The sequence below is a fragment of the Homo sapiens genome, chromosome 2 (assembly GCF_000001405.40).
Source record: "Homo sapiens chromosome 2, GRCh38.p14 Primary Assembly".
NCBI lineage: Eukaryota > Metazoa > Chordata > Mammalia > Primates > Hominidae > Homo > Homo sapiens.
In genome coordinates this window covers 85,604,602-85,627,630 of record NC_000002.12, presented here as the reverse complement: position 1 = coordinate 85,627,630, position 23,029 = coordinate 85,604,602, and the positions used below count along the sequence as shown (strand labels likewise).

At 47.3% G+C, this 23,029-nt stretch overlaps 2 protein-coding genes across 12 annotated transcripts in view, besides 6 other annotated features; one reads left to right on the top strand and one right to left on the bottom strand.

Moving 5' to 3' along the window:
- USP39 (ubiquitin specific peptidase 39) overlaps positions 1-23,029 on the bottom strand; it is a 46,423-nt gene that overhangs the window by 21,653 nt on the left and 1,741 nt on the right. For 4 of the 9 annotated variants that reach the window (NM_006590.4, NM_001256725.2, NM_001256726.2 and 1 more), the window contains exons 1-5: positions 11,168-11,445; positions 8,342-8,411; positions 6,052-6,146; positions 3,849-3,985; positions 1,940-2,092 (exon numbers count right to left, since the gene is read on the bottom strand). In NM_006590.4, coding sequence (NP_006581.2) covers positions 1,940-2,092; positions 3,849-3,985; positions 6,052-6,146; positions 8,342-8,411; positions 11,168-11,435 — 723 coding nt within the window. In that variant the 5' untranslated portion in view covers positions 11,436-11,445. Of the gene's footprint in view, positions 1-1,939; positions 2,093-3,848; positions 4,006-6,051; positions 6,147-8,341; positions 8,412-11,167; positions 11,446-15,271; positions 15,527-23,029 lie in introns of those variants that run through there. The other 5 variants (NM_001256727.2, XM_047442988.1, NR_046347.2 and 2 more) reach the window with 4 other exon arrangements.
- Positions 11,652-11,701: an enhancer, noted in NCBI's record as "active region_16136". NCBI's record gives its function as "activates an Ori minimal core promoter by ATAC-STARR-seq in GM12878 lymphoblastoid cells {active_cell/tissue: GM12878}" and the evidence as "EXISTENCE:reporter gene assay evidence [ECO:0000049][PMID:35858748]".
- Positions 11,732-11,781: an enhancer, noted in NCBI's record as "active region_16135". NCBI's record gives its function as "activates an Ori minimal core promoter by ATAC-STARR-seq in GM12878 lymphoblastoid cells {active_cell/tissue: GM12878}" and the evidence as "EXISTENCE:reporter gene assay evidence [ECO:0000049][PMID:35858748]".
- Positions 15,065-15,237: a silencer, noted in NCBI's record as "fragment chr2:85839517-85839689 (GRCh37/hg19 assembly coordinates)". NCBI's record gives its function as "represses an EF-1alpha promoter that drives an FKBP-Casp9 reporter gene in an ReSE screen in K562 erythroleukemia cells {active_cell/tissue: K562}" and the evidence as "EXISTENCE:reporter gene assay evidence [ECO:0000049][PMID:32094911]".
- Positions 15,224-15,453: an enhancer, noted in NCBI's record as "active region_16134". NCBI's record gives its function as "activates an Ori minimal core promoter by ATAC-STARR-seq in GM12878 lymphoblastoid cells {active_cell/tissue: GM12878}" and the evidence as "EXISTENCE:reporter gene assay evidence [ECO:0000049][PMID:35858748]".
- Positions 15,413-15,794: a silencer, noted in NCBI's record as "fragment chr2:85838960-85839341 (GRCh37/hg19 assembly coordinates)". NCBI's record gives its function as "represses an EF-1alpha promoter that drives an FKBP-Casp9 reporter gene in an ReSE screen in K562 erythroleukemia cells {active_cell/tissue: K562}" and the evidence as "EXISTENCE:reporter gene assay evidence [ECO:0000049][PMID:32094911]".
- C2orf68 (chromosome 2 open reading frame 68) lies at positions 15,565-22,377 on the top strand. Of its 3 annotated transcripts, none has more exons than NM_001013649.4 (4): positions 15,565-15,753; positions 15,845-15,963; positions 18,045-18,196; positions 18,564-22,377. In NM_001013649.4, the coding sequence occupies exons 1-4, from the start codon at positions 15,647-15,649 to the stop codon at positions 18,684-18,686; spliced, it is 501 nt and encodes a 166-aa protein (NP_001013671.2). In that variant the 5' UTR covers positions 15,565-15,646; the 3' UTR covers positions 18,687-22,377. The 3 variants fall into 3 exon arrangements, with proteins under 3 accessions (NP_001013671.2, XP_005264362.1, XP_024308647.1); XM_005264305.5 differs by lacking the exon at positions 18,564-22,377 and adding an exon at positions 16,058-16,313 and having other exon boundaries at positions 18,045-18,131; XM_024452879.2 differs by lacking the exons at positions 18,045-18,196; positions 18,564-22,377 and adding an exon at positions 16,058-16,388.
- Positions 15,724-15,793: a silencer, noted in NCBI's record as "silent region_11707". NCBI's record gives its function as "represses an Ori minimal core promoter by ATAC-STARR-seq in GM12878 lymphoblastoid cells {active_cell/tissue: GM12878}" and the evidence as "EXISTENCE:reporter gene assay evidence [ECO:0000049][PMID:35858748]".

Sequence of the window (23,029 nt, the reverse complement as noted above, 5' to 3'; positions counted from 1 at the left end):
TTAAATAGAGACAGGGTCTCGCTATGTTGCCAGGCTGATTTCAAACTACTGGCCTCAAGGGACCCTGCCACCTTGGCCTCCCAAAGTGCTGGGATTAGAGGCATGAGCCACCATGCCCAGCCCCTTACAATTTATACATGTTTTCCCCAATAAGCCTGTGTTTATGATTTTTTAATCATTTTCTTGGTGAAGTAGGATTATTGTTTTCTTATTATACTTACCAACATTTAAAAATTGGCTGGGCATGGTGGCTCACACCTGTAATCCCAGCACTTTCAGAAGCTCAGGCGGGTGGACCACGAGGTCAGGAGTTCAAGACCAGCCTGGCCAACATGGTGAAACCCCATCTCTACTAAAAATACAAAAATTAGCCGGGTGTGGTGGCAGGCATCTGTAATCCCAGCTACTCAGGAGGCTAAGGCAGAAGAATCACTTGAACCTGGGGAGCAGAGGTTGCAGTGAACGAAGATCATGCCACTGCATTCCAGCCTGGGTGACAGACTCCCTCTAAAAAAAAAAATTTCTACAGTATGCACCTATTACTCATAAAATTTTCTTAAAAACAACTTTTAATTGAAAATAAGGGATGGGCACGGTGGCTCATGCCTGTAATCCCAACACTTTGGGAGGCCGAGGCAGGTGGATCACGAGGTCAGGAGTTCAAGACCAGCCTGGCCAAAATGGTGAAACCCTGTCTCTAAAACTAAAACTACTAAAACTCTACTACAACCCTGTCTCTACAAAACTTAGCCAGGCACAGTGGCAGGCGCCTGTAATCCCAGCTACTCGGGAGGCTGAAGCAGGAGAATCGCTTGAACCTGGGAGGCAGAGGTTGCAGTGAGCTGAGATTGCGCCACTACACTCCAGCCTGGGCAACAGACTGAGACTCCGTCTCAAAAAAAAAAAAAAAGAAAATAGGACAGCTTTGGTTTTCTGCCTTTCCAATTTCAGGGTTATGAGCACATGGGCAGGAAAAAGTCATTGATCAGCCAGCACAACAAATATCTACACCATTTTTTTAAAAAAATGCATCTGGCATGTTTCTTACTTGATACTGCAAGGCAACACAGATTCGGTCCCTCATTCCCTGAAGTTCCAGATGCCATGAGCCAGAGGCTAGAAAAAGCCTCACCATTTGACAGCAGCCCAGTGAGCAAAGGAATGCTCTGCCTGTTGCAGAACAATTACTCAAGTAGAGTCCTTAGCAAGACTTGGTGTCTGAGGATCATCTGACTATACTCTACAAGAAGGCAGTAATTTCTTTTTTTGAGACGGAGGAGTTTCGCTCTTCTTGCCCAGGCTGGAGTGCAGTGACGTGATCTCAGCTCACTGCAACCTCCGCCTCCTGGGTTCAAGTGATTCTCCTGCCTCAGCCTCCCGAATAGCTGAGATTACAGGCATGCACCACCAAGCCCGGCTAATTTTGTATTTTTAGTAGAGATGGGGTTTCTCCATGTTGGCCAAGCTAGTCTCGAACTCCTGACCTCAGGTGATCCTCCCGCCTTGGCCTCCCAAAGTGCTGGGATTACAGGTATGAGCCACTGCGCCTGGCCGAAGGCAGTAATTTCTTGGCCAGTACACATACTATTTCCTGTCCCTCTCTTTTTTTTTTCTTGAAACAGAGTCTCACTGTTCCCCAGGCTGGAGTGCAGTGGCGCGATCTCGGGTCACTATAACCTCTGCCTCCCGGATTCAAGCGATTCTCCCACCTCAGCCTGCCAAATAGCTGGGACTACAGGCTTCCACCACCATATCTAGCTAATTTTTGTATTTTTAGTAGAGACAGGGTTTCTCCATGTTGGCCAGGCTGGCTCAAACTCTTGACCTCAGGCAATCCGCCTGCCTTGGCCTCCCAAAGTGCTGGGATTACAGGGGTGAGCCACTGTGCTCAGCCTTCTGGGTGTCCTTCTCTTCCTCAATGTTCCCGTCTTGATCTTACCTGAAGGACAGCGTTGGCATAATCATTGGCCTTTATGTTATTCAGTCCCACAATACCCGGCAGGTAAGTGGTACCATCATATGCCCGGGACAATTTGGCTTGCTTGTCCAAGTTTGCAATTTGCTGCTTTGTGAAAGTGGGCTTCAACACATACTGCAAAGCAAAAGAAAATGCTAAGTTGTTTAAGAGCTGAGTTCACAAGAAATGTCTGTAACAGTAATTTCTACAAAAACAAAAAACACTTGGCCATGAACATCCCACCACACACAGAAAAATAGTCCGAACCAGTAGGTGTAAAGATTGAAGTAACACGGAGTAGATCCTCTCCCATGGCTAATCTACAAGGGGATCTCTGTGTCTATCCCAAAATCACTGAATCCCAGGTCTTTTCGCCGACCTCAGGTCTGGTCAACTCATGAAAACTGACTGCCAGAAACCATACAATACTCAAGTTCCTAAAGGCAGTCTAAGTCTCAGATAGAACCTCCTGGGAGCAGCACATGGACCTAGCTTTGGAGCAGGAGAGTTTCCTCCACTCTGGGTGGGAATGAGGATCTCCATGAGTCCCTGGTACTGGAAGAGCAGGATCAGACTCTTCCCAGGCACAGAGTTACCACAGTCATTATGTCACAGACTGGACAGAGATCATCGCAAACTCACTTTGAAACACTGAATTTAGCCCAGTTTTTCCCTCTATAAATACTGACCATAACTTTTTTTTTTTTTTTTAGATGGAGTTTTGCTCTTGTTGCCTAGACTAGAGTGCCATGGCATGATCTTGGCTCACTGCAACCTCCCCCTCCCAGATTCAAGCAACTCTCCTGCCTCAGCCTCCCAAGTAGCTGGGATTACAGGCATGTGCCATCATGCCCGGCTAATTTTGTATTTCTAGTAGAAACGGGGTCTCATCATGTTGGTCAGGCTGGTCTCAAACTCCTGACCTCAAATGACCCACCTGCCTCGGCCTCCCAAAGTGCTGGGATTACAGGTGTGGGCCTCCCCACCAAGCCTGTCCATAACTATTTTAATCTCAACTATTAATAATAGGCTTATACAACTTTTACAAGTAGAAAAAGCAGTATTTCAAAGACTAAATACCACGTTTTCCTTAAAAATAAACAGAGCATGAACAACTTAGGCAATGCAGTGAGACTCCATCTCTACAAAAAATTTTAAAAATGTATCTGGGCATGATGGTAACGCCTACAGTCCTAGCTACTTGGGAAGCTGAAGTAAAAGTATCACTTGAACCCATGAGGTCGAGGCTGCAGTGAGCTGTGATGGCACCACTGCACTCCAGCCTGAGCGACAAAGTGAGACCCTGTCTCAAAAAAAAAACCAAAAACAAGAACAGAGCACATGGCACCATGAATACACCCCACGTGCTGAAAAGGAAAATAATAATCAAAAGCCCAACACTAATCAAACCCAAGAGGACTTTCCATGCTCAGTACAATGAGTGTCTCTTGGCACAGGTCACAAACTAGAGCCCACAGATAAGATATCTGTGGCTGGATGCTCTGGCCACGGCGTATGTTAAAAGCAGCCAGGAGCCGGTGTGCAGCTTGGTAAATACTGTCCTACACCAGGACCAATTCATATCCCTACTTCACAGTGTAGAAGAATAATTTCACAAAAACACTTTAAACCCCATCAGAATACACCCATATTTCTTCAGTCCTAGCCCTCAATGTTACAAGTAGAAATGACAGTTAAGTTACAGACTACAGGCTGCAATTATGAATTCTGACCTTACTCAGTTTCCCCAGTTCTTCCCAAAAGAGAAAGCAGCCTCTCGATGCCTAAAGGGACTGAGATTCTTCCCTGTCCTCAGGTGGGGCAGTCCCCTGGGAGCCCTGGGATGGCTCATTAAAGAATGGACCCCAAACCAACCCTCTTAGACACACACCGTGATATCCTCCAATGAGGAATCGATGATCTCATAGTTGTCTGGAAGGCAGTAAAACTTGAGGGTGTGGAGGTTGAGGAAAACATGGTGGCTAAACTGGACACTGTGAATGTAGGCGTGAGACTTCAAACCCCGGCCTGTAGGGAAGGGTGAAAAGCTGTAATAGAAGGGCAGATACTAGAACACACAGATCAGGTTTGCTTTTCCTTTCATTATTTTCTACCGGAACATGTTAATATCCGCAAAAAACAAATATTATGCCATTCATAAAATGAATCCTCCACATGAAGTTCTCTCATAAAAAAATTAGCAAGAAAGACTAGCACATTAGTTACTTCATTCTCTAAATGGCCTAAGACATTGATTAGGGAAACAAATTTCACTATTTTTTAATATATATGTAAAATATATATAACCTATATATATATCTATATATAATACATATAACTATATATTCATACATAGTTTCCTATATACATGAAACTAGAAATATCTATGCATATATGTGTGCATAAATACACATAAACATAAATACATACATATCCTATGACAGTCCATCATCACTCAGTCCTGGATTTCCAAATGCCCATATTCAGGACAATGCTTTATCTATGTAACTTTTTTCATGTTGCTACTCCTTTCTAGAATCTCTCTCCCTTAACCATTCAAATTCTATGTCCTGCCAATTCAAGTCCCACCTCAGCTCTTCCATGAACTCAACATAAACACTCCAGCTAACATTGATTTTTGCACATTCAACTCCTATTGCACTTATTTTTACTCCGTGCCACAGTCCAGCAGTAATCTTTATGATCTAACAGAACTCACTGGTTGTTTTACATGTCAACCTTGACTCCTTATAAGCTCCTTACGAGAGCAAAGAATACAGTTTTTATCTCTTTTTTTGAGACAGGGTCTTGCTATGTTAGCCAGGTGGGTCTTGAACTCTTGACTTTAAACAATCCTCCTCCTCGGCCTCCCAAAATGCTAGGATTAGGTGTGTAAACCACTGTGCCCAGCTGTTTTTACCTCATTTGAATCCTCCACTATACTATGTACATGGCATCTGCTTGGTGTGAATGAGTTGAAATGATAAATTTTCAGAAAAAAATGGAATAAAAAAAGTCCTTTGAGCTAAAGAATATTCCAAAAAAAAAAAAAAAATTGTAGCCTGGGTAACATAATAAGGCCTTGTCTCCACAAAAAAATAAAATAAAATAATTAGCCAGACAGCAGGGTGCAATGGCTCACATCTATAATCCCAGCACTTTGGGAGGTACAGGCAAGCACACTGCTTGAGCTCAGGAATTTCAAGACTAGCCTGGGCAACAGAGTACAATCCCATCTTTTAAAAAAATGTGGCCGTGCACGGTGGCTCATGCCTGTAATCCCAGCACTTTGGGAGGCTGAGGAGTATGGATCACTTAAAGTCAGGAGTTCAAGACCAGTGTGGCCAATATGGTGAAACCCCCTCTCTACTAAAAAATACTAAAATTAGCCGGGTGTGATGGTGCATGCCTGTAATCCCAGCTACTCAGGAGGCTGAGGCAGGAGAATCACTTGAACCTGGGAGTCAAGAGGCTGCAGTGAGCCAAGATCACGTCACTGCACTGCAGCCTGGGTGACAGAGTGAGACTCCATCTCTTAAAAAAAAAAAAAATTAGGCCGGGCGCGGTGGCTCACGCCTGTAATCCCAGCACTGTGGGAGGCCAAGACAGGTGGATCACCTGCGGCCAGGAGTTCAAGACCAACCTGGCCAACATGGTGAAACCCCGTTTCTACTAAAAATACAAAAATTAGCCAGGCATGGTGGCAGGCGCCTGTAATCTCAGCTACTCTGGAGGCTGAGGCAGGACAATTGCTTGAACCCAGGAGGCGGAGGTTGCAGTGAGCCAACCTGGGCAACACTGTCTCAAAATAATTTTAAAAAAGTAAAAATTAAAAAAATACATATATTAGAGATTCGAGAACCCAGAGTCTTTAAGATTACAGTCTTTCATATGACTAGCTCTTTCTCCCTTACAGACATATCCAGGTTCTGACCAGTCAGAGAACCTCTTATTGGTTTTCTAAGAATATTTCAATTTCCTGGGAACAAATAGAAATTATTAGATATGATTCCTGAGAACAGCTTACTTTCTTTAAAAAAAAAAAAAAAGTCCCTCTGGAGCAGATCTGCAGTTAGCTCTAACAACTTATTTACCTTGAAAGTACTTGCCACACACCAGACAGGCATAAGCATTGATGTGTGAGAGGGAGATAGAACACAGTTTCTCAAAGTCAAAGTCCAGCACACTCCTAAGGAAACAAAACAGAAAAAAATAAATAGGATGGACATGTAGGAAGGCACGCAAATGAAGCAGTGCTGGCTCTGTGACCCATGATACCACATAACATCCTTCAGAAAACAGTTCACAACCATATATACACCATGGGGGACACTGATTATTCCTCACCTCCACCCGCCATGCTCCAAAGCACTGTTGAGGTGTCTCCACCAGACACATAATACCCACGAGCCTCTTTCTCATTAGTGTTTGTAACCAGTTCAGGACTTTCCATTGCAGTCACTTTCTCTAGAGAGAAAGCTACAAGTTAGACTAAGGTAACAGTACCCCAGCAGCATTCTGGAGGTGGAGAGGACATAAAAAGGGTGAATAAATCCTTGCATAAAAGAAAAACATATCACTTAAGCCCAGGAGTTTGTGACTAATGAGCTCTGATCCACCACTGCACTCCAGACTGGGATACAGAGTGGGATCCTCTCTTAAAAACAAATAATAATAATAATTAATTACAAAATAAAAATGTATTTTTATCCATAAAAACAAATAGCCTGAAGAATTTCAGAATACCTATAAACAGACCTATTTATTCAAGTGCAAAGTGAGTACTGGCAGTAAGGAACAAAAACCTTATCTCCACTGAATCCACAAAGAGATTTATTCTCAAATAGTAACTCTTAATTAACCGATAATAATCCCAAAGAGCTATGCTGTCTAATTTATTAGAGGCCACTAGACAAAGTGGCTATTGACAATTAAATTTAAAATACAGCTGTCCCTCAGTAGCCACAGGACACTGGTTCTAGGACCCCTTCAAATACCAAAATCCACAATGTTCAAGCCCCTTACAGCTGGCCCTTTGTACCTTCAGGTTCCATATCCTGATACTGAGGCTGACTGTAATTCAATTAAATAAAATTTAAAATTCAGTTCTTCAACTGCAGGAGCCACTGAAGCCACAGGTGGCTCATGCCTACCATAATGAACAGCCCTTATAACTTTTTTGGTTTTTTTTTTTTGAGATAGGGTCTCACTTTGTCATCCAGGCTGGAGTACAGTGGCGCAATCTCAGCTCACTGCAGCCTCAACCTCCTAGGTTCAAGCAATCCTCCTGCTTCAGCCCCCCAAGAAGCTGGGACTACAGGAGTGCACCACCACACCTGGCTAATTTTTTTATTTTTTGTAGAGCTGAAGTTTTGCCATGCTGCCCAGGATGCTCAAACTCCTGAGCTCAAGCAATCTGCCTGCCTCAGCCTCCCAAAGTGCTGGGATTACAGGCATGAGCCAGAGCACCCGGCCATAACTTTTTTTTTAAGTTTTTTTAAAAGATGGGTCTCGTTGGCTGGGCGTGGTGGCTCATGCCTGTAATCCCAGCACTTTGGGAGGCCAAGGCAGGTGGATCTCCTGAGTTCAGGAGTTTGAGGTCAGCCTGGCCAACATGATGAAACCCCGTCTCTTCTAAAAAAAATACAAAAATTAGCTGGGCGTGGTGGCGGGCACCTGTAATCCCAGCTACTCAGGAAGCTGAGGCAGGATAATCACTTGAACCTGGAAGGCGAAGGTTGCAGTAAGCCAAGATCGCGCCATTGCACTCCAGCCTGGGGGACAAAAATGAAACTCCATCTCAAAAAAAAAAAGATGGGTCTCATTATGTTGACCAGGCTGGTCTCAAATTTCTGGCCTCAAGGGATCCTCCTGCCTTGGCCTGCCAAAGGGCTGAGTAAAGGCGTGGGCCACCACACCCAGCTCTTACAAGAGTAATTATATTATTGTAAAACATTCCCCTACAATATAGGTTGAAAAACATTCTACATGCCACCTGGGAATCAGAGAAAAGAATGCTATGATGAGGTAAACTACCTCAGCTTTCAAACAAATTTCTGTGTTTTTTTTCTGCTGAATCCCAGGCACCCAAAATAGTATCCAGCACATACTAGATACTCCATAAACATTTCAATGTGCTACTGTTATTTTAGGATACTATGCATCCTGTTATCCCAACATACAAATGCAAAATAAGCTCTTTAACAACATGTGTTCTGACACTTTAAATCAAAGAATAAGGAGTAACATGGCAAGAAGCACAACTCTCTAGACAGGTTCAAAAAAAGTAAAGTTTGTCAATGTGTTGTTCACTGTACAGTCCAAAAACTTTCTGCACAGATTCCATTGTTCTTGTGCTATACTCAGCATCTCTGTCCTACTGACCTGTTAATGGTGTCCAGGTACGGGCAGTGGCGGCTCCTCCGGTCCTCAGAATCCACTCGGCCATTCTTTGCTGAAAGGAAAATCATCACAGGCTTTGAAAATGGGAAACCTATACTCAGGGCCAACTAACAGAACAAAAAAAGAAACAGAAATGGGAAAAACTAATCAAGATGAGTTCCTATTGTTTGGGTGGCAACAATATCGAAAAAAAAGTCCACTAGCCGGGCGCGGTAGCTCATGCCTATAATCCCAGCACTTTGGGAAACCGAGATGGGTGGATCACCTGAGGTCAGGAGTTCAAGACCAGCCTGGCCAACTATGGTGAAACCCCGTCTCTACAAAAAACACAAAAATTAGCCAGGCATGGTGGTGGGTGCCTGTAATCCCAGCTATTCAGGAAGTTGAGGCAGGATAATTGCTTGAACCTGGGAGAAGGCGGTTGCAGTGAGCAGAGATCGTACCGCTGCACTCCAGCCTGGGCGACAAGAGCAAAACTCCCTCTCAAAAAAAAAAGAAAAGAAAAAAGCCCACTAATAGAACAAGCCACAAACTGGGAGAATATATTTGGTATACATAAAATCAACAGAAGATTTGTTTGCATTTTACATAAAGAAATCCCATAAAGCATGAAAAATATGAAATATGTCACAAGCACTAAAATAAACTAATTGTAATACAAATGTACCATATAGTTGTGTGTTTCGTTTTTTTTTTGTTTTTTTTTTTTTGAGACGGAGTCTCGCTCTGTCCCCCAGGCTGGAGTGCAATGGCGCGATCTCAGCTCACAGCAACCTCCGCCTCCCGGATTCAAGCAATTCTCCTGCCTCAGCCTCCCGAGTAGCTGGGACTACAGGCACAAGCCACCACACCCAGCTAATTTTCATACTTTTAGAAGAGACGGGGTTTCACCATGTTGGCCAGGCTGGTCTCGAACTCCTGACCTTGCGATCCACCCTCCTTGGCCTCCCAAAGTGCTGGGATTACAGGCGTGAGCCACTGCGCCCGGCCACAAATGTACTACGTAGTTTAAAGAGTGGCTGGGTGAGTGGCTCATGCCTGTAATCCCAGCACTCTGGGAGGCAGAGGCAGGCGGCTCACCTGAGGTCAGGAGTTCAAGGCCAGCCTGACCAATATAATAAAACCCCATCTCTACTAAAAAATACAAAAATTAGCCGGGCATGGTGGCATGCACGTGTAATCCCAGCCTACTTGGGAGGCTGAGACAGGAGAATTGCTTGAACCTGGGAGGCAGAGGTTGCAGTGAGCTGAGATCGTGCCATTGCACTCCAGCCTGGACAACAAGAGTGAAACTGTCTCAAAAAAAAAAAAAAGAATGTACATGTGTATCTATAAATCTACCACTTGTCAAAAACTTGAGTGGGTCTCAGATCTTACCCTACTCGCAAGCTAACAAGTTAGCCTGTCACAGTTTTATGAATGCTGATGGAAAGCATGTGACTACCTGGCCTGAAATAAAGGACAGTTTATTAGAGCAATGACAGTAGCCGGAATATAGCATTGGTGTCAGTTTTCCAAGTGAATTCCCACAAGGCAAAGTGAGGAGAACCCATGCACACAGTGAGCTGCCTTACAGGAGACGAACCCCGTGCTTAGAGAATCTGAACCATTAACCATTTTTTCAAACGAGGTCTCGCTCTGTTGCCTATCCTAGTCTTGAACTCTACCTCATCCTATAGAGTAGCTGCGATTACAGGTGTGAGCCACCACACCCTGCCCCAAATCTTTTATAAGGGATTGTGCCCTTGTCTCCTCGTTTTGTAGGGAGACACCATTTCTATCTTCCAAGGCTGCTCACTACACGAACATCCTTAACGAGAGTCCAGGAGAAAAGGCAGTCAGGCAATGGTCGCAGTACGTGCACAAACTCAAGAGACTAATGGAAAATTGTCTCCAGACTTTATTCAGCTTAAAAAGTGCTACATAATCCATACTTTAGTAGAGGTGCCTATTGCTCAAGCATTCTGAATATCTTGATTACAGAAATTACAAGACCTTAGATGTAAAAACTGAAGGAAAGCCGTGCACGGTGGCTCACGCCTGTAAACCCAGCACTTTGGGAGGCCGAGGTGAGTGGAACACTTGAGTCCAGGAGTTCGAGACCAGCCTAGGCAACATAGCGAGACTTGCTTCTCTTAAAACGCAAAAAAAAAAAAAAAAATTCTTTTTTAAAATGGAAGGAAGTAACACTTGTAAAATCAGCACTGAGCCCCCACATCGGGCATTCGATAAAGGGAAGCTGCTGTTGTTACGATTTTTGCAGTTAGAAATACCATACGTTTGGCCGGGCACGGTGGTTCACGCCTGTAATCCCAGCACTTTGGGAGGCCGAGGCGGGCGGATCACGAAGTCAGGAGATCGAGACCATCCTGGCTAACACGATGAAACCCCCTTCTCTACTAAAAACACAAAAAATTAGCCGGGCGTGGTGGCGGGAGCGGTGGTGGGCGCCTGTAATCCCAGCTACCTGGGAGGCGGAGGTAGGAGAATCGTTTGAACCGGGGAGGCAGAGGTTGCAGTGAGCCGAGATCGCGCCACTGCACTCCATCCTGGGTGACAGAATGAGACTCCATCTCAAAAAAAAAAAAAAAAAGAAAAAAGAAATACTATACGATTATTGAGAAGGGTACTGTCTTCATCAGAACAAGTCGAACAGCAGAATCGTCGAGTCTGGATCCCTCCTCTTCTCCACCCCAACCCCACCCCTCCCCCAACTCCGGCGCAGTGACCTAGCGGAAGATTAGAGACAAGAAAAAAGGACGCGAAAAAAACAGGCTCTCGCGCCTAGCCCGGCCCGGCCCCGCGCACCTCGCACCTCCCGCTCAGGCTCCGAGTCCTCATCGACCTCGCGCTCCCGCTTCACCCGCACAAACGGGACAACAGAAGCCGGGGCCTCGCGCGCGCTCGCCGGCTCGAACTCCCGCTTCACGCGCACAGGGCTGCCCCGGGAGCTCGCCGCCTCAGGCTCCCGCTCCCGATCTCGCTCCCGCTTGACGCGACCGGAGCTGCCCCGCGACTCAGACTCTCGCTTCCCGCGAGTGGAACCGCGAGACTCCCGCTTAGACCGGCCGGACATCTCCACTACCGGCCGAGTCGTCCAGCGCAGGCGCCAAGCACGCTCGAGCGCGCGGCACAAGGCCAATCAGGAGAGGGGCTGGTAGCGAGCCCCGAACTCTCTACGAGTCGCCACTGGGGACAAATCACGCTGCAGAAAATTTGTGGGCGGTGCTGTTCCTGCACTGGCTTCCTCTCCCCTTAGAACCTTCTGTGGGCCTACTGTCGTTTACAGTTTACTGAGACGGGAACCTTTACTGGCGACAGTTTTCTGGATAAAAGCTGTCAGGCCGGGCGCGGTGGCTTACGCCTGTAATCCCAGCACTTTGGGAGGCCGAGGCGGGTGGATCACCTGAGGTCGGGAGTTCGAGACCAACCTGACCAACATGGAGAAACCCCGTCTCTACTAAAAATACAAAATTAGCCCGGCATTGTGGCGCATGCCTGTAATCCCAGCTACTCGGGAGGCTAAGGCAGGAGAATCGCTTGAACCCAGGAGGCGGAGGTTGCGGTGAGCCGAGATCGCGCCATTGCACTCCAGCCTGGGCAACGAGCGAAACTCCGTCTCAAAAACAAAGAAGCTGTCATTCGGCCCCAGATTTGTGCCTCGAAACCACCACCGTGAGGTCGTTTCCCACAGTCTCCGCGGCTTGGGGGCTGACAATCCTGCACAGGAAAACTAGGCGACATTCCCAAATCATCCCCTTGACAGCCCTAATTCTACTTTTAGAAGGTTCTTGGTACCATGAAAACGCAAATGCCCGGTAAAGGCAGATTTACCATGAAGCTAATAAAGCTCTAACCTCAGGACCTGCCTTGAACTTGTTTGCTTGTTTGAACCGTTCCATTGAGGTATAATTGACATACAACAAACTACATGTTTAAAGTGTGCAATTTAGGCCAGGCGCTGTGGCTCATGCCTATAATACCAGCACTTTGGGAGGCCAAGGCGGGCGGATCACCTGAGGTCAGGACTGGAGACCAGCCTGGCCAATATGGTGAAACCCCATCTCTACTAAAAATACAAAAATTAGCCGGGCGTGGTGGCACGAGCCTGTTAACCCAGCTACTTAGGAGGCTGAGGCAGGAGAATCGCTTGAACCCGGGAGGCGGAGGTTGCAATGAGCCGAGATCGCCCCATTGCACTCCAGCCTGGGCAACCAGAGTGAAACTCTGTCATACCCACACCACACCACACCACACCACACCACACCACACCACACCACACCACACCACACTGTGTGCAATTTACTGAATTCTGACTTGCGGTATATGTCAGAGGCGTTTCAACCAGACCAACTCCATCTTGAGTGAGGGTTAGGAAAATGAGGCTGGGCCTTGACAGGCTGCATTCCCAGGAAGTTAGGTATTCCTAGCCTAGAGATGTCTACAGTTAAGGGAACAGAGAGATAATGTTTACTAAACAGATCCAGACTTGGGAGTGTCCTAATATCCCAATATCTGGAGAATAAAGGCATTCCTAATTTTGCTTTAAAGATAATATTTCTTCTTGCAAAATATAATAATAAAATTAATCCTTTATCACAAACCCTTGTAGCAGAGCACATCTCCCCATGATCTTTTTATCCTATATATAAACAAGCATTGTAGCCATGGTGGATGCGTTCCTCCTTTTACTTTCAGGAACGCCCTATTCTGTCAATGGAGTAGCTGTACTTTCACTACTTTACATTTTATTTTTTTGATACAGAGTCTTGCTCTGTCACCCAGGTTGGAGTGCATTGGTGAGATCTCGGCTCACTGCAACTTCTGCCTCCTGGGTTCAAGTGATTATCCTGCCTCAGACTCCTGAGTAGCTGGGATTACATGCACCTGCCACCATGCCCGGCTAATTTTTGTATTTTTAGTAGGCACAGAGTTTCACCATGTTGGCCAGGCTGGTATGGAAGTGCTGACCTCAAGTGATCCGCCCGCCTCCCCTTCCAAAGTGCAGGGATTACAGGCATAAGCCGCGACACCTGGCTACTTTACTTTCTTAATAAACTTGCTTTTACTTTGCACTGTGGACTCACCCTGAATTCTTTCTTGCACAAGATCCAAGAACCCTCTGCTGGGGTCTGAATAGGGATCCCTTTCCTGTAACATATACACCCATGAAGCCATCACCACAATCAAGAGACGGGATCTGGGCCCAGTACGGTGGCTCACACTTATAATCCCAGCACTTTGGGAGGCCTGAGGCAGGAGGATCACTTGAGGTCAGGAGTTCAAGACTAGCCTTGGCAACATAGAGAGACCCCCCCCATCTCCACAAAAAAATTTTAAAATTAGCTGGGCATGGTGGCATGCTATTCAGGAGGCTGAGGCAGGAGGATCGTTTGGGCCTGAGAGGTGGAGGCTGCAGTGAGCAGTGATTGCACCACTACAATCCAACCTATGCGACAGTGAGATCCTGCCTCAAAAAAATAAAAAAATAAAAAAAAATTTAAAGAATCTACCCAGCCCCAAAGATATCCTCTTCCTCCCAGAGAACCCCCACAAAAATCAACTGATCTCTCGGTCACTATAGATTAGTTTGCACTTCCTAGAGTCTCATATAAATGGAATCATACAGAGTCCCTGGCCTCTTTCACTGGGCATATTTATTTTATGATCCATCCATGTTGTTGAGCTACAGATCTTCCTTTGGATTGCTCAGTAATATTCCATCGTGTGGCTGGACCACCATTGGTCCCTGTTTTTTGTTTTTGTTTTTTGTTTTTTGATTTGGAGGTTGGACTGCAGTGGCTCGATCTCGGCTGACTGCAACCTCCGCCTCCCGGGTTCAAGCGATTCTCCTGCCTCAGCCTCCCAAGTAGCTGGGATTACAAGCACCGGCCATCAAGCCCAGCTAATTTTTTGTATTTTTTTTTAGTAGAGACGGGGTTTCACCATTTTGGCCAGGCTAGTCTCGAACTCCTGACCTCTTGATCTGCCCGCCTGGGCCTCCCAAAGTGCTGGGATTACAGGCGTGAGCCACCACGCCCGGCTCTTTCTTTCTTTTTTAATGTATTTTTTTCTTGTAGAGACGATGTCTCGCTGTGTTGCCCAGGCTGGTCTCAAATTCCTCCCTCCAGCGATACTCCCACTTCGGCATCCCAAAGTTTTGGAATTACAGACATGAGCCACTGCATCCAGCCGTTTGTCCCTGTCCTAATCATGAATTCCTGATTTTGACTTTTGTAAAAGGACTTGAGAATTTTACACGCTGTGACGTGAACCCAGTGGTCAGAAAAAATAGAAAAAAAAAAAAAAGGGGCCGGGCACGGTGGCTCATGCCTGCAATCCCAACACTTTGGGAGGCCGAGGCAGGCGGATCACCTGAGGTCAGGAGTTCGAGACCAGCCTGGCCAACGTGGTGAAACCTTATCTCTACCAAAAATACAAAACTTAGCCGGGCGTGGTGGCACGCGCATGTAGTCCCAGCTACTCGGGAGGCTGAGGCAGGAGAATCGCTTGAACCCGGGAGGCGGAGGTTGCAGTGAGCCGAAATCACGCCAATGCACTCCAGCCTGAGCGACAGAGTGAGACTCCTTCTCAAAAAGAAAAAAAAAAGGAAAAATAAATAAAAAAGAAAATAATACACCCGTAGGTCCCTCAAAAACCCTGGGTCCTCCCGCGGGGACAGTTAAGCCATCGGCGCCGTGAGCAGGAGGCAAGCCGGGCCAGGAGAGCCTTCGCGGCGCCTGCGGCCTGGGCGCCGCTGTTGCCCTGCCTGAGCACTTCAAGGCCTCACAATCCATTTGAGGTAGGTGCTCTAGGTGTTCCCATTTACTAATGAGGAAACTGAGAAGTGGCAGCGTTACACAGTCAGCCAAAGTCACGCAGATGGCGATGGATTGCACAGCATCCTATTACCAGAAAAAAGATGGGAAGGCACCGCCGTAAGCATCGAGTTGTGTTATAGATGATTTGCATTTTTCTGAAGGTTCTGGTATCAGCTGTAAGCCGAAGTCCTTGTTTCCTATTGATATGTTACGAAAAAACAAACAAAAAAAAACAAAAACAAAAGCCCTCCGTCCGGGGGGTGGAAGTCAAGCATACCCTACTCCACCCGACCCGACCAGACCCGAAAACTCCGTGCGCTGCATCGCTTGGCCAGGCCGGGGCCTCCCAGACCGGAAGTCAGGATGCGGGGCCGGAAGCTGAGCAAGGGGCGGCGCGGAGCTCTGTGGGCGGGTGGCTGTTGTTGGGGCCGTCGAGGCGGCGGCGACTCTGCGTCCCCGGCTCCTGATGGAGGCGGGGCCGCATCCCCGGCCGGGGCACTGCTGCAAGCCTGGGGGGCGGCTGGACATGAACCACGGCTTCGTGCACCATATCCGACGGAACCAGATCGCTCGGTACCGCCCCGCCCTGCGCCGCCGCCGCCACCACTCCTGGCCTGGCCTGGCCCGGCCCGACAGTCCCTGACTCCCGCTCGGCTCCCCGCAGGGACGACTATGACAAGAAGGTGAAGCAGGCGGCCAAGGAGAAGGTGAGGAGGCGGCACACGCCCGCGCCGACGCGGCCCCGCAAGCCAGACCTGCAGGTGTACCTGCCGCGACACCGAGGTGAGGCCGCCCGCCCCGCCTGCCTCCAGCCCGCGCGCTCTTCCTGCAACGCACTCCCCTTCTCTATAGGGAAAAACCACTTCTTACTCCTAAGGTTCAGCTCATCTCGTCTCTTTCCGGAACCTCCACCTCAGCGCTCCCAAATCTCCGCTGAATGATTCTCACCAAGAACTGGGACGACTCATAAGCCCCCAGTTAAGCATCGCTGTCAGAGTATCGGGGAGCCAGCAAGAAGTTTATCTGCCGGTTTGCCCCACCGTGCTGTATTTTAGTAAGGTGCTCCGCTACCTAGCAAAGAGAAAGTCTGGCACAGCGATGAGCGACCAGCACATAATTGCGGAATGAACCCAGTAAATGGCCTTTCCCCAGCTTCTCTGCTACCTAGAGATCACACTGGTTAATATATGACGGTCAATTTTTGTTAAGCATTATTACTTTTTTTAAAATGTTTTTATTTTATTTTTGAGACTAGGTCTCTGTCGCCCAGGCTGGAGTGCAATGGTGCGATCTGGGCTTACTGCAGCCTTAGCCTCCCGAGTACCTGGGACCACAGGCGTGTGCCACCACACCGGTTAATTTTGGTATTTCTTGTAGAGAAGGGGTTTCCCCGGCTGGGCGCGGTGGCTCTCGCCTGTAATCCCAGCACTTTGGGAGGCCGAGGCGGGCGGATCACGAGGTCAGGAGATCGAGACCATCCTGGCTAACATGGTGAAACCCCCGTCTCTACTAAAAATACAAAAAATTAGCCGGGCGTGGTGGTGGGCGCCTGTAGTCCCAGCTACTCGGGAGGCTGAGGCAGGAGAATGGCGTGAACCCGGGAGGCGGAGCTTGCAGTGAGCCGAGATCGCGCCACTGCACTCCAGCCTGGGCAACACAGCAAGACTCGGTCTCAAAAAAAAAAAAAAAAGAGAGAGAGAGAAGGGGTTTCTCCACGTTGTCCAGGCTGATCTCGAACTCCTGAGCTCAGGTGATCTGCCCGCATCGGCCTCCCAAAGTGCTGGGATTATAGGTGTGTGCCACTACCTTTGTTAGGCATTAGTGAAAGTGCTTTTAGATCTTACGTATATTAATTCATTGAGTCTTTATACAACCTCATAAGAAAGCTTCTGTCTGTTTCACAGTCAGGAAACAGGCACAGAGAGGTTAAACAACTTGCCCAAGATCTCAGCTAGTAAATGGCAGAGCCTGGATTTGAACCCAGGCAGAGCTCTATCCACCCTTCTGCTTTCCAGTACTTTTTGCTAGACAAATGTGCATTGTGTACCTACTGTGTGACAGGATTGTGCTGGCCTCAGAGCAGGGATGCAAAGGTAAATAAGTCCTTGATTGGCAGCACACCAAATGCTTACACTGGTCCGGGCGCGGTGATTCATGCCTGTGATCCTAGCAGTTTGGGAGGCCGAGGTGGGCGGATCCCTTGAGGCCAGGAGTTCGAAATTAACCTGGACAACATGGTGAAACCCCATCTCTACTAAAAATACAAAAATTAGCCAGGCATGATGGCAGGCGGCTGTAATCCCAGCTACTTGGGAGGCTGAGGAAGGAGAATTGCTTGAACCTGGGAGGCAGAGGTTGCGGTGAGCCGAGATTTAGCCACTGCACTCCAGCCTGGGCAACAGAGCAAGACTCCGTCTCAAAAAAAAAAAAAAAAAAACCACTTACACTGGACCCATAAGAAGATTGGGGCAGCTGGGTGCAGTGGCTCACGCCTGTAATCCCAGCACTTTGGGAGGCCAAGGTGGGTGGATCACCTGAGGTCAGGAGTTTGAGACCAGCCTGGCCAACATGGTAAAACCCCATCTCTACTAAAAATATGAAAATTAGCTGGATGTGGTGGCACTTGCCTGTAATCCCAGCTACTCGGGAGGCTGAGGCAGGAGAATCGCTTGAACCTGGGAGCGGAAGTTGCAGTGAGCCGAGATTGCACCACTGCACTCCAGCCTGGGCGACAGAGTGAGACTTCGTCTCAAAAAAAAGAAGACTGGGGCTTTCCTAACCGTATATTTTCCTGCAGCATCTCTATGGACAGGGCCTTCAGCAGCACCCCCCCTCTTCTTTCTTACTGTGGTTCATCCTTCCAGATGTCTCTGCCCACCCACGCAACCCAGACTATGAAGAGTCCGGTGAAAGCAGCAGTAGTGGAGGCTCTGAGCTGGAGCCTTCTGGCCATCAGCTCTTCTGCTTAGAATACGAGGCAGACAGTGGAGAGGTCACATCAGTTATCGTCTATCAGGTACGCCTGGTGGAAACAGCTGCAGCCTGAAGGTCCTGGGCCATGGTAGTAATCATTGTCAGACCCTGAGCCCTGTTTTCCTCAGGACCCCCAATGGGAAGCGTCTGCTCCACATGTGAGTCTAGGCCTGCCGGGCAGTGCTTTTGAGCACAACTCACTCCCATCTCACAGTGATTCTCAGTAGGGGAACAGGGAGGGCTCTTGGCCCCCAGTGGAGAATCACTATTACAGGAGACACATAGGAAATGACAGGTGCTGGCAAAAAGCCTTGAGCTAAATGGAGTTCTGTGAGAGTGTTTAGGGACAGGGCAGGTCACCTTTCTGGAAGAGGCCAGGCCCTGAGCCTTCTGACTCTTCCTCCACGTAGGGTGATGACCCAGGAAAGGTGAGTGAGAAGGTGTCGGCACACACGCCTCTGGATCCACCCATGCGAGAAGCCCTCAAGTTGCGTATCCAGGAGGAGATTGCAAAGCGCCAGAGCCAACACTGACCATGTTGAAGGCGTTCTCTCCAGGCTGGATTCACTGCACTCGGAAGAATTCTGCCCAGGGAATTTAGTGTGGGGGTACCAGGACCAGTTTGTCTGATCTTGAGACCCCCAGAGCTGCTGCATCCATAGGGTGTTGCAGGACTACACCTGGCCTGCCTTGCAGTCATTCTTTCTTATATGTTGACCCATTTGCCCAGCCTGATATTCTGGAATTCTTTTTTTTTTTTTTTTTTTTTTTTTTTTGAGGATTTTGTGTGGCTAATGTGTTCTAGAAGCAGAGACTCCAGGGAGAACCAGAATTTATGAAGCCTCGTGCAACATGGTGCTTTCTCACCGAGGTCATATGCCTGGCTGCTGCTGTTCCACTCAGCTCCATGAGCCACGTTTGTTATTTTATGTTTCTTCTGTGCTTTTGCTCATTTCCACCCATGTGTTTATAGACCTTTTTTCAGCCCTTTTTCTTTGTTCCTTTCCCTCATCTTTTTGCCTCAGGTAGAATCCATCAGTTTTCCTCCCCCTCCAAATGACTGTGTACCTCCAGCTGCTCAGGACTTTGGAGGTGGGGGCGGGGCCTGGGGATCTACCCTTCTAAAAAACTCTCCAAGTAATTCTGATACCAATAAAGTGGGAGACCTCCATTTTTGAGGCCTATTTGCAAGCATGTCTCCCTCCCTTTCCATGGCTTTTTCGTTTCTCGCATGTTCCACTGCTTTGCACTGTCTAGACAGGAAACCTAGGAAGATGTTGGTGCTAAACTGAAAAGATTTCTTACAGCAAAACCTGCCTCGGCCAGGGCTACAGAATTCCAACTTTCAACTTGATTCCTAGCCGTGAACAGACTGTCCTCTGCTCAGACTAAAAGGGAATTATAAACAAGTGGGAACTTACTCTCCAGTTGTGACTTAACAGTTCTGAACATACCTACAAAGGGAAAGTCAATATTAGCAATAATTGCCTGATTGACAGCACGCCAGAGGGAATGAAATGAGGCCTTCTCTCCTACCTCCCAGGAGTATGTAACTCAGATCCTTAGCATAAAGATCCCCAGGAATACCACTGCTCTAACCCGGTGAACATTTTTTCTAATGCAGGGTTAGGCTTACGTCTGAATTCCACAAGACATCCTCCCCCTCCAGTACGGAAGTTCCAAGGCACTTGTTTTCCAGCATATCAGCCTAACCTCAGTGCCTTGAAATATGGCTTTAAGCCTTTGAGAACTGAGATTTCCTGAAACCATAGGCCCTTGCCCCAGGGGTTTCTCCACATCCGGGTGTTAAGACACCTGATGGCACTGTTGGTTTGTCCCCTATACCCCAGAAAATCTATCCTGCAAGGTAGCTACTTCAATCTTGTCATTAAAATGTGTCAAGTCACAGCTCGCAATGCCAAAGGAATGCTGGGGCAGTAAGTGAGGTGGATAAGTGAGAAGGGCCTGGTGGTGAAAGCGGCCAGGGACCAGAATGCTCCAGACCTACAGAGCTGGTCAAGGTTAAGTGCCTTAAACTTACCAATCCTGGGCTCAGTTCTCCTTTGAAAGGAGAAAGTCTTTGTCCTCTACTTAGGCAGCTGGGCTAGAAGTGCCTTTTGACTTCTAATGTTAACTACCCTCCAAAGCCTCCTGGGTCAAGAAGGCTCTCCCAAACTCCACCCCTGTTCTTCCTGGTCAGAGAACCAGTCAGTCATTCTAGTCTTCTAGTCCTTAAACTGATCTGATGACTTGGAACATAGGATTTCACTGCAAGTCTGGCTTTTTAGTCTGGAAATACATTTGAGGTCTGTTTTCGCACAGCTGGATCACCTGTTTCCTGGTTTTATTACACAATTCAGAAGGCTAGAAGAGGAGTTTGGGGGCTTGGCACCTGAAAATTTAGACCGCATTCTTATTAAGTAAAGGAAGAGGTAGGGAGGCCGAGGCGGGCGGATCATGAAATCAGGAGATCCAGACCGTCCTGGCTAACACAGAAACCCCGTCTCTACTAAAAATACAAAAAATTAGCTGGGCATGGTGACATGTGCCTGTAGTCCATCCCAGCTACTCGGGAGGCCGAGGCAAGAGAATCACCTAAACCTGGAAGGCGGAGGTTGCAGTGAGCCGAGATCACACCACTGCACTTCAGGCTGGGCAGCAGAGCGAGACTCCATCTCAAAAAAAAAAAAAAAAGGAAGAGGTAAAAGGCAAGGCAGCATTTAATAAGTACCTGTTGTATCCTTTTAAGTGTTTGTTGTGGTAATCCTCACAAAGACCGGGACTGATGGAAACTCCTTGCTATTAAACTTTTTTTCTTGAGGAATTTTGCTTTTCAAGTGCATATACACTATTAATATTTTTTACCCAAGAGAGCATTCTAAGCTAATTTATGCAGTGTGACTGTATTAAGCATTAAGCTTCCTTCAGAGCTGGCCTATCGGAGATGCTACTGCCCTCTCTACAGATGTGTCTGAAATGCCTGCCCAAGGATGGCCCTTAGCCAGTTAACAGCTTTATAGCCCATCCTCATTGCTTACTGCCACCCCTCAGCTGGGGTCCAAGGCAGTACTATTCAGTTTATTCACCAGACCTGCCTCCAGACATCTACTTCTTTCAAAAATTAGTGTTTTCCATCAAGGAGCATGTTCCAGAGCATTTCCCAGAGATGTCCCAAAGAACACTGTCCGGTGCTGTGGCGTACAGTGGCAACAGCATTAGACTAAGTGGAACATCCCAGCAGGCTGCTTTAGAATCCGCTCATTTGACTAGATACGATGTAATTGGCTGTCTTTAAAAAACGCGCACACACACACAATCTGATAGGCATATCTCATGCCCATTCAATATGGAATGTTCTTCGCTTGCTGAATTTAAGCCTGTATTTTAAGGTTTTGTGGTTCCTCGGCCACAATGGGTGATGTCACTGATAGAACGAAGCTGAGTTTCCAAGGGTTTGGGGCTGTGCAAGAGTAAACACTAGAGCTTGAGTTGTTATCCAGCTGGCAAGCACGGAAGTCTTTGAAGAATGTAATGTAAAAAGGGAAAAGAATGTAAAGCTTTTTGTACCAAATGAGAGTTGGAGCCCAGCCAACAAATGCTTTTCCCTGTGTAAAAGTCTCTCTGGAAGGGACATTCCATCTCCATGGTGCACTCTGAGGGGCACTGTCAACTAGAGATTGGCCCCATCCAGGTGGGAGGAACCCCTTTGGGATGGTGAGTATCCAATCTGCTGTGCATTTGACAGGATCTCTGAATGGCTAGGTAATGGATCCCAAGCAGGCTCACAAATTTAAATGAGGGCTTTGTGTGCAGAAAGAGGAATAAGTACAGATTATTTTCCTACCACTAGATTTTTGGGGAGAGTCACCATGGAATGTTGACAATTACTTAAAATATTTTAAGCTCCCTTGCTGAATTCCTGTCCTGTCCCTGAGGAATCAGATGGTCATACAGCCATAGGCACCCACCCGAAATTTCCCTAGGAGTTGGAGTAATGCTAGAATTGAAGACCTTCTGAGTAAAGGGCTTCTCTGCCTTCTCAGAGGCAGGAGAATTTGCACTGGTTGTGTTAAATGTATAAAAAGCTATATGTTCACCAGTTTACTCATTTCCAATGTGTAGATGAATAAAATGTAGTGTACAAATTATTTGAAAATCCCAGAAGGAAGGTACTTTTCAAATACAGTATTTTTTTTAACAAATAAACTTACGATTTTTACAGCACTGTTTTTGCCAAGAGTTGTGAAATAACTTGTGTACTTGGGGAAGTGGAGGTTAAATACCTGCCCTAAAGTCATTCCACCACCGAGTCAGCACTGGAAATCTCATCTCTTGCTTTGCCACACTATTTTAAGAGCTGTCCCTGTTGGAACATAACAACTAGACAGACTCATGTAGCATTAGAGTTGGAAGGTCTTTTTAAAGACATCTGGTCCTACTTCTTACATGATACACAATTCCCCCTACCAACTACCTATGAAGAGCCCTTCTGTCATACGGAGCTCCATCCTGGGATAATTCTATTTTAGGAACTATTAGATTGTCATACTAAGCCAAAAGCTGCCTCATGTCCCGGATCTGGACTACTATGCCTTGCCCCCACATCATGTTAGAACTTGAGTAGTCCTCTCAGGCCTTCATCTTGATTGGATAGGGACTCAAACCCAGCTCAAGAAGATATAGTGTTAAGAATTGCAAAGCTTCCAATTAGGGTTCACAGCCCCATTGGGCAGATAAGGTGCCTACGCAGTGGGAATGCAGTTGGGCAGGAAGATGGTTCCTGTCAATTAGCAAGGAAGCACACCCTTGTCCTGAGGCACAAAGCATAGCCAGCGGCAGGTGAGCTGGATTTTATCCCCCACTGGTTTATTCAGCC

Coding starts and splice junctions, on each gene's coding strand:
- C2orf68 (NM_001013649.4), top strand. CDS start 15,647: ATGGAGGCGGGGCCGCATCCCCGGCCGGGGCACTGCTGCAAGCCTGGG. Junction 15,754..15,844: donor CGACGGAACCAGATCGCTCG/GTACCGCCCCGC, acceptor GGCTCCCCGCAG/GGACGACTATGACAAGAAGG. Junction 15,964..18,044: donor GTACCTGCCGCGACACCGAG/GTGAGGCCGCCC, acceptor TCATCCTTCCAG/ATGTCTCTGCCCACCCACGC.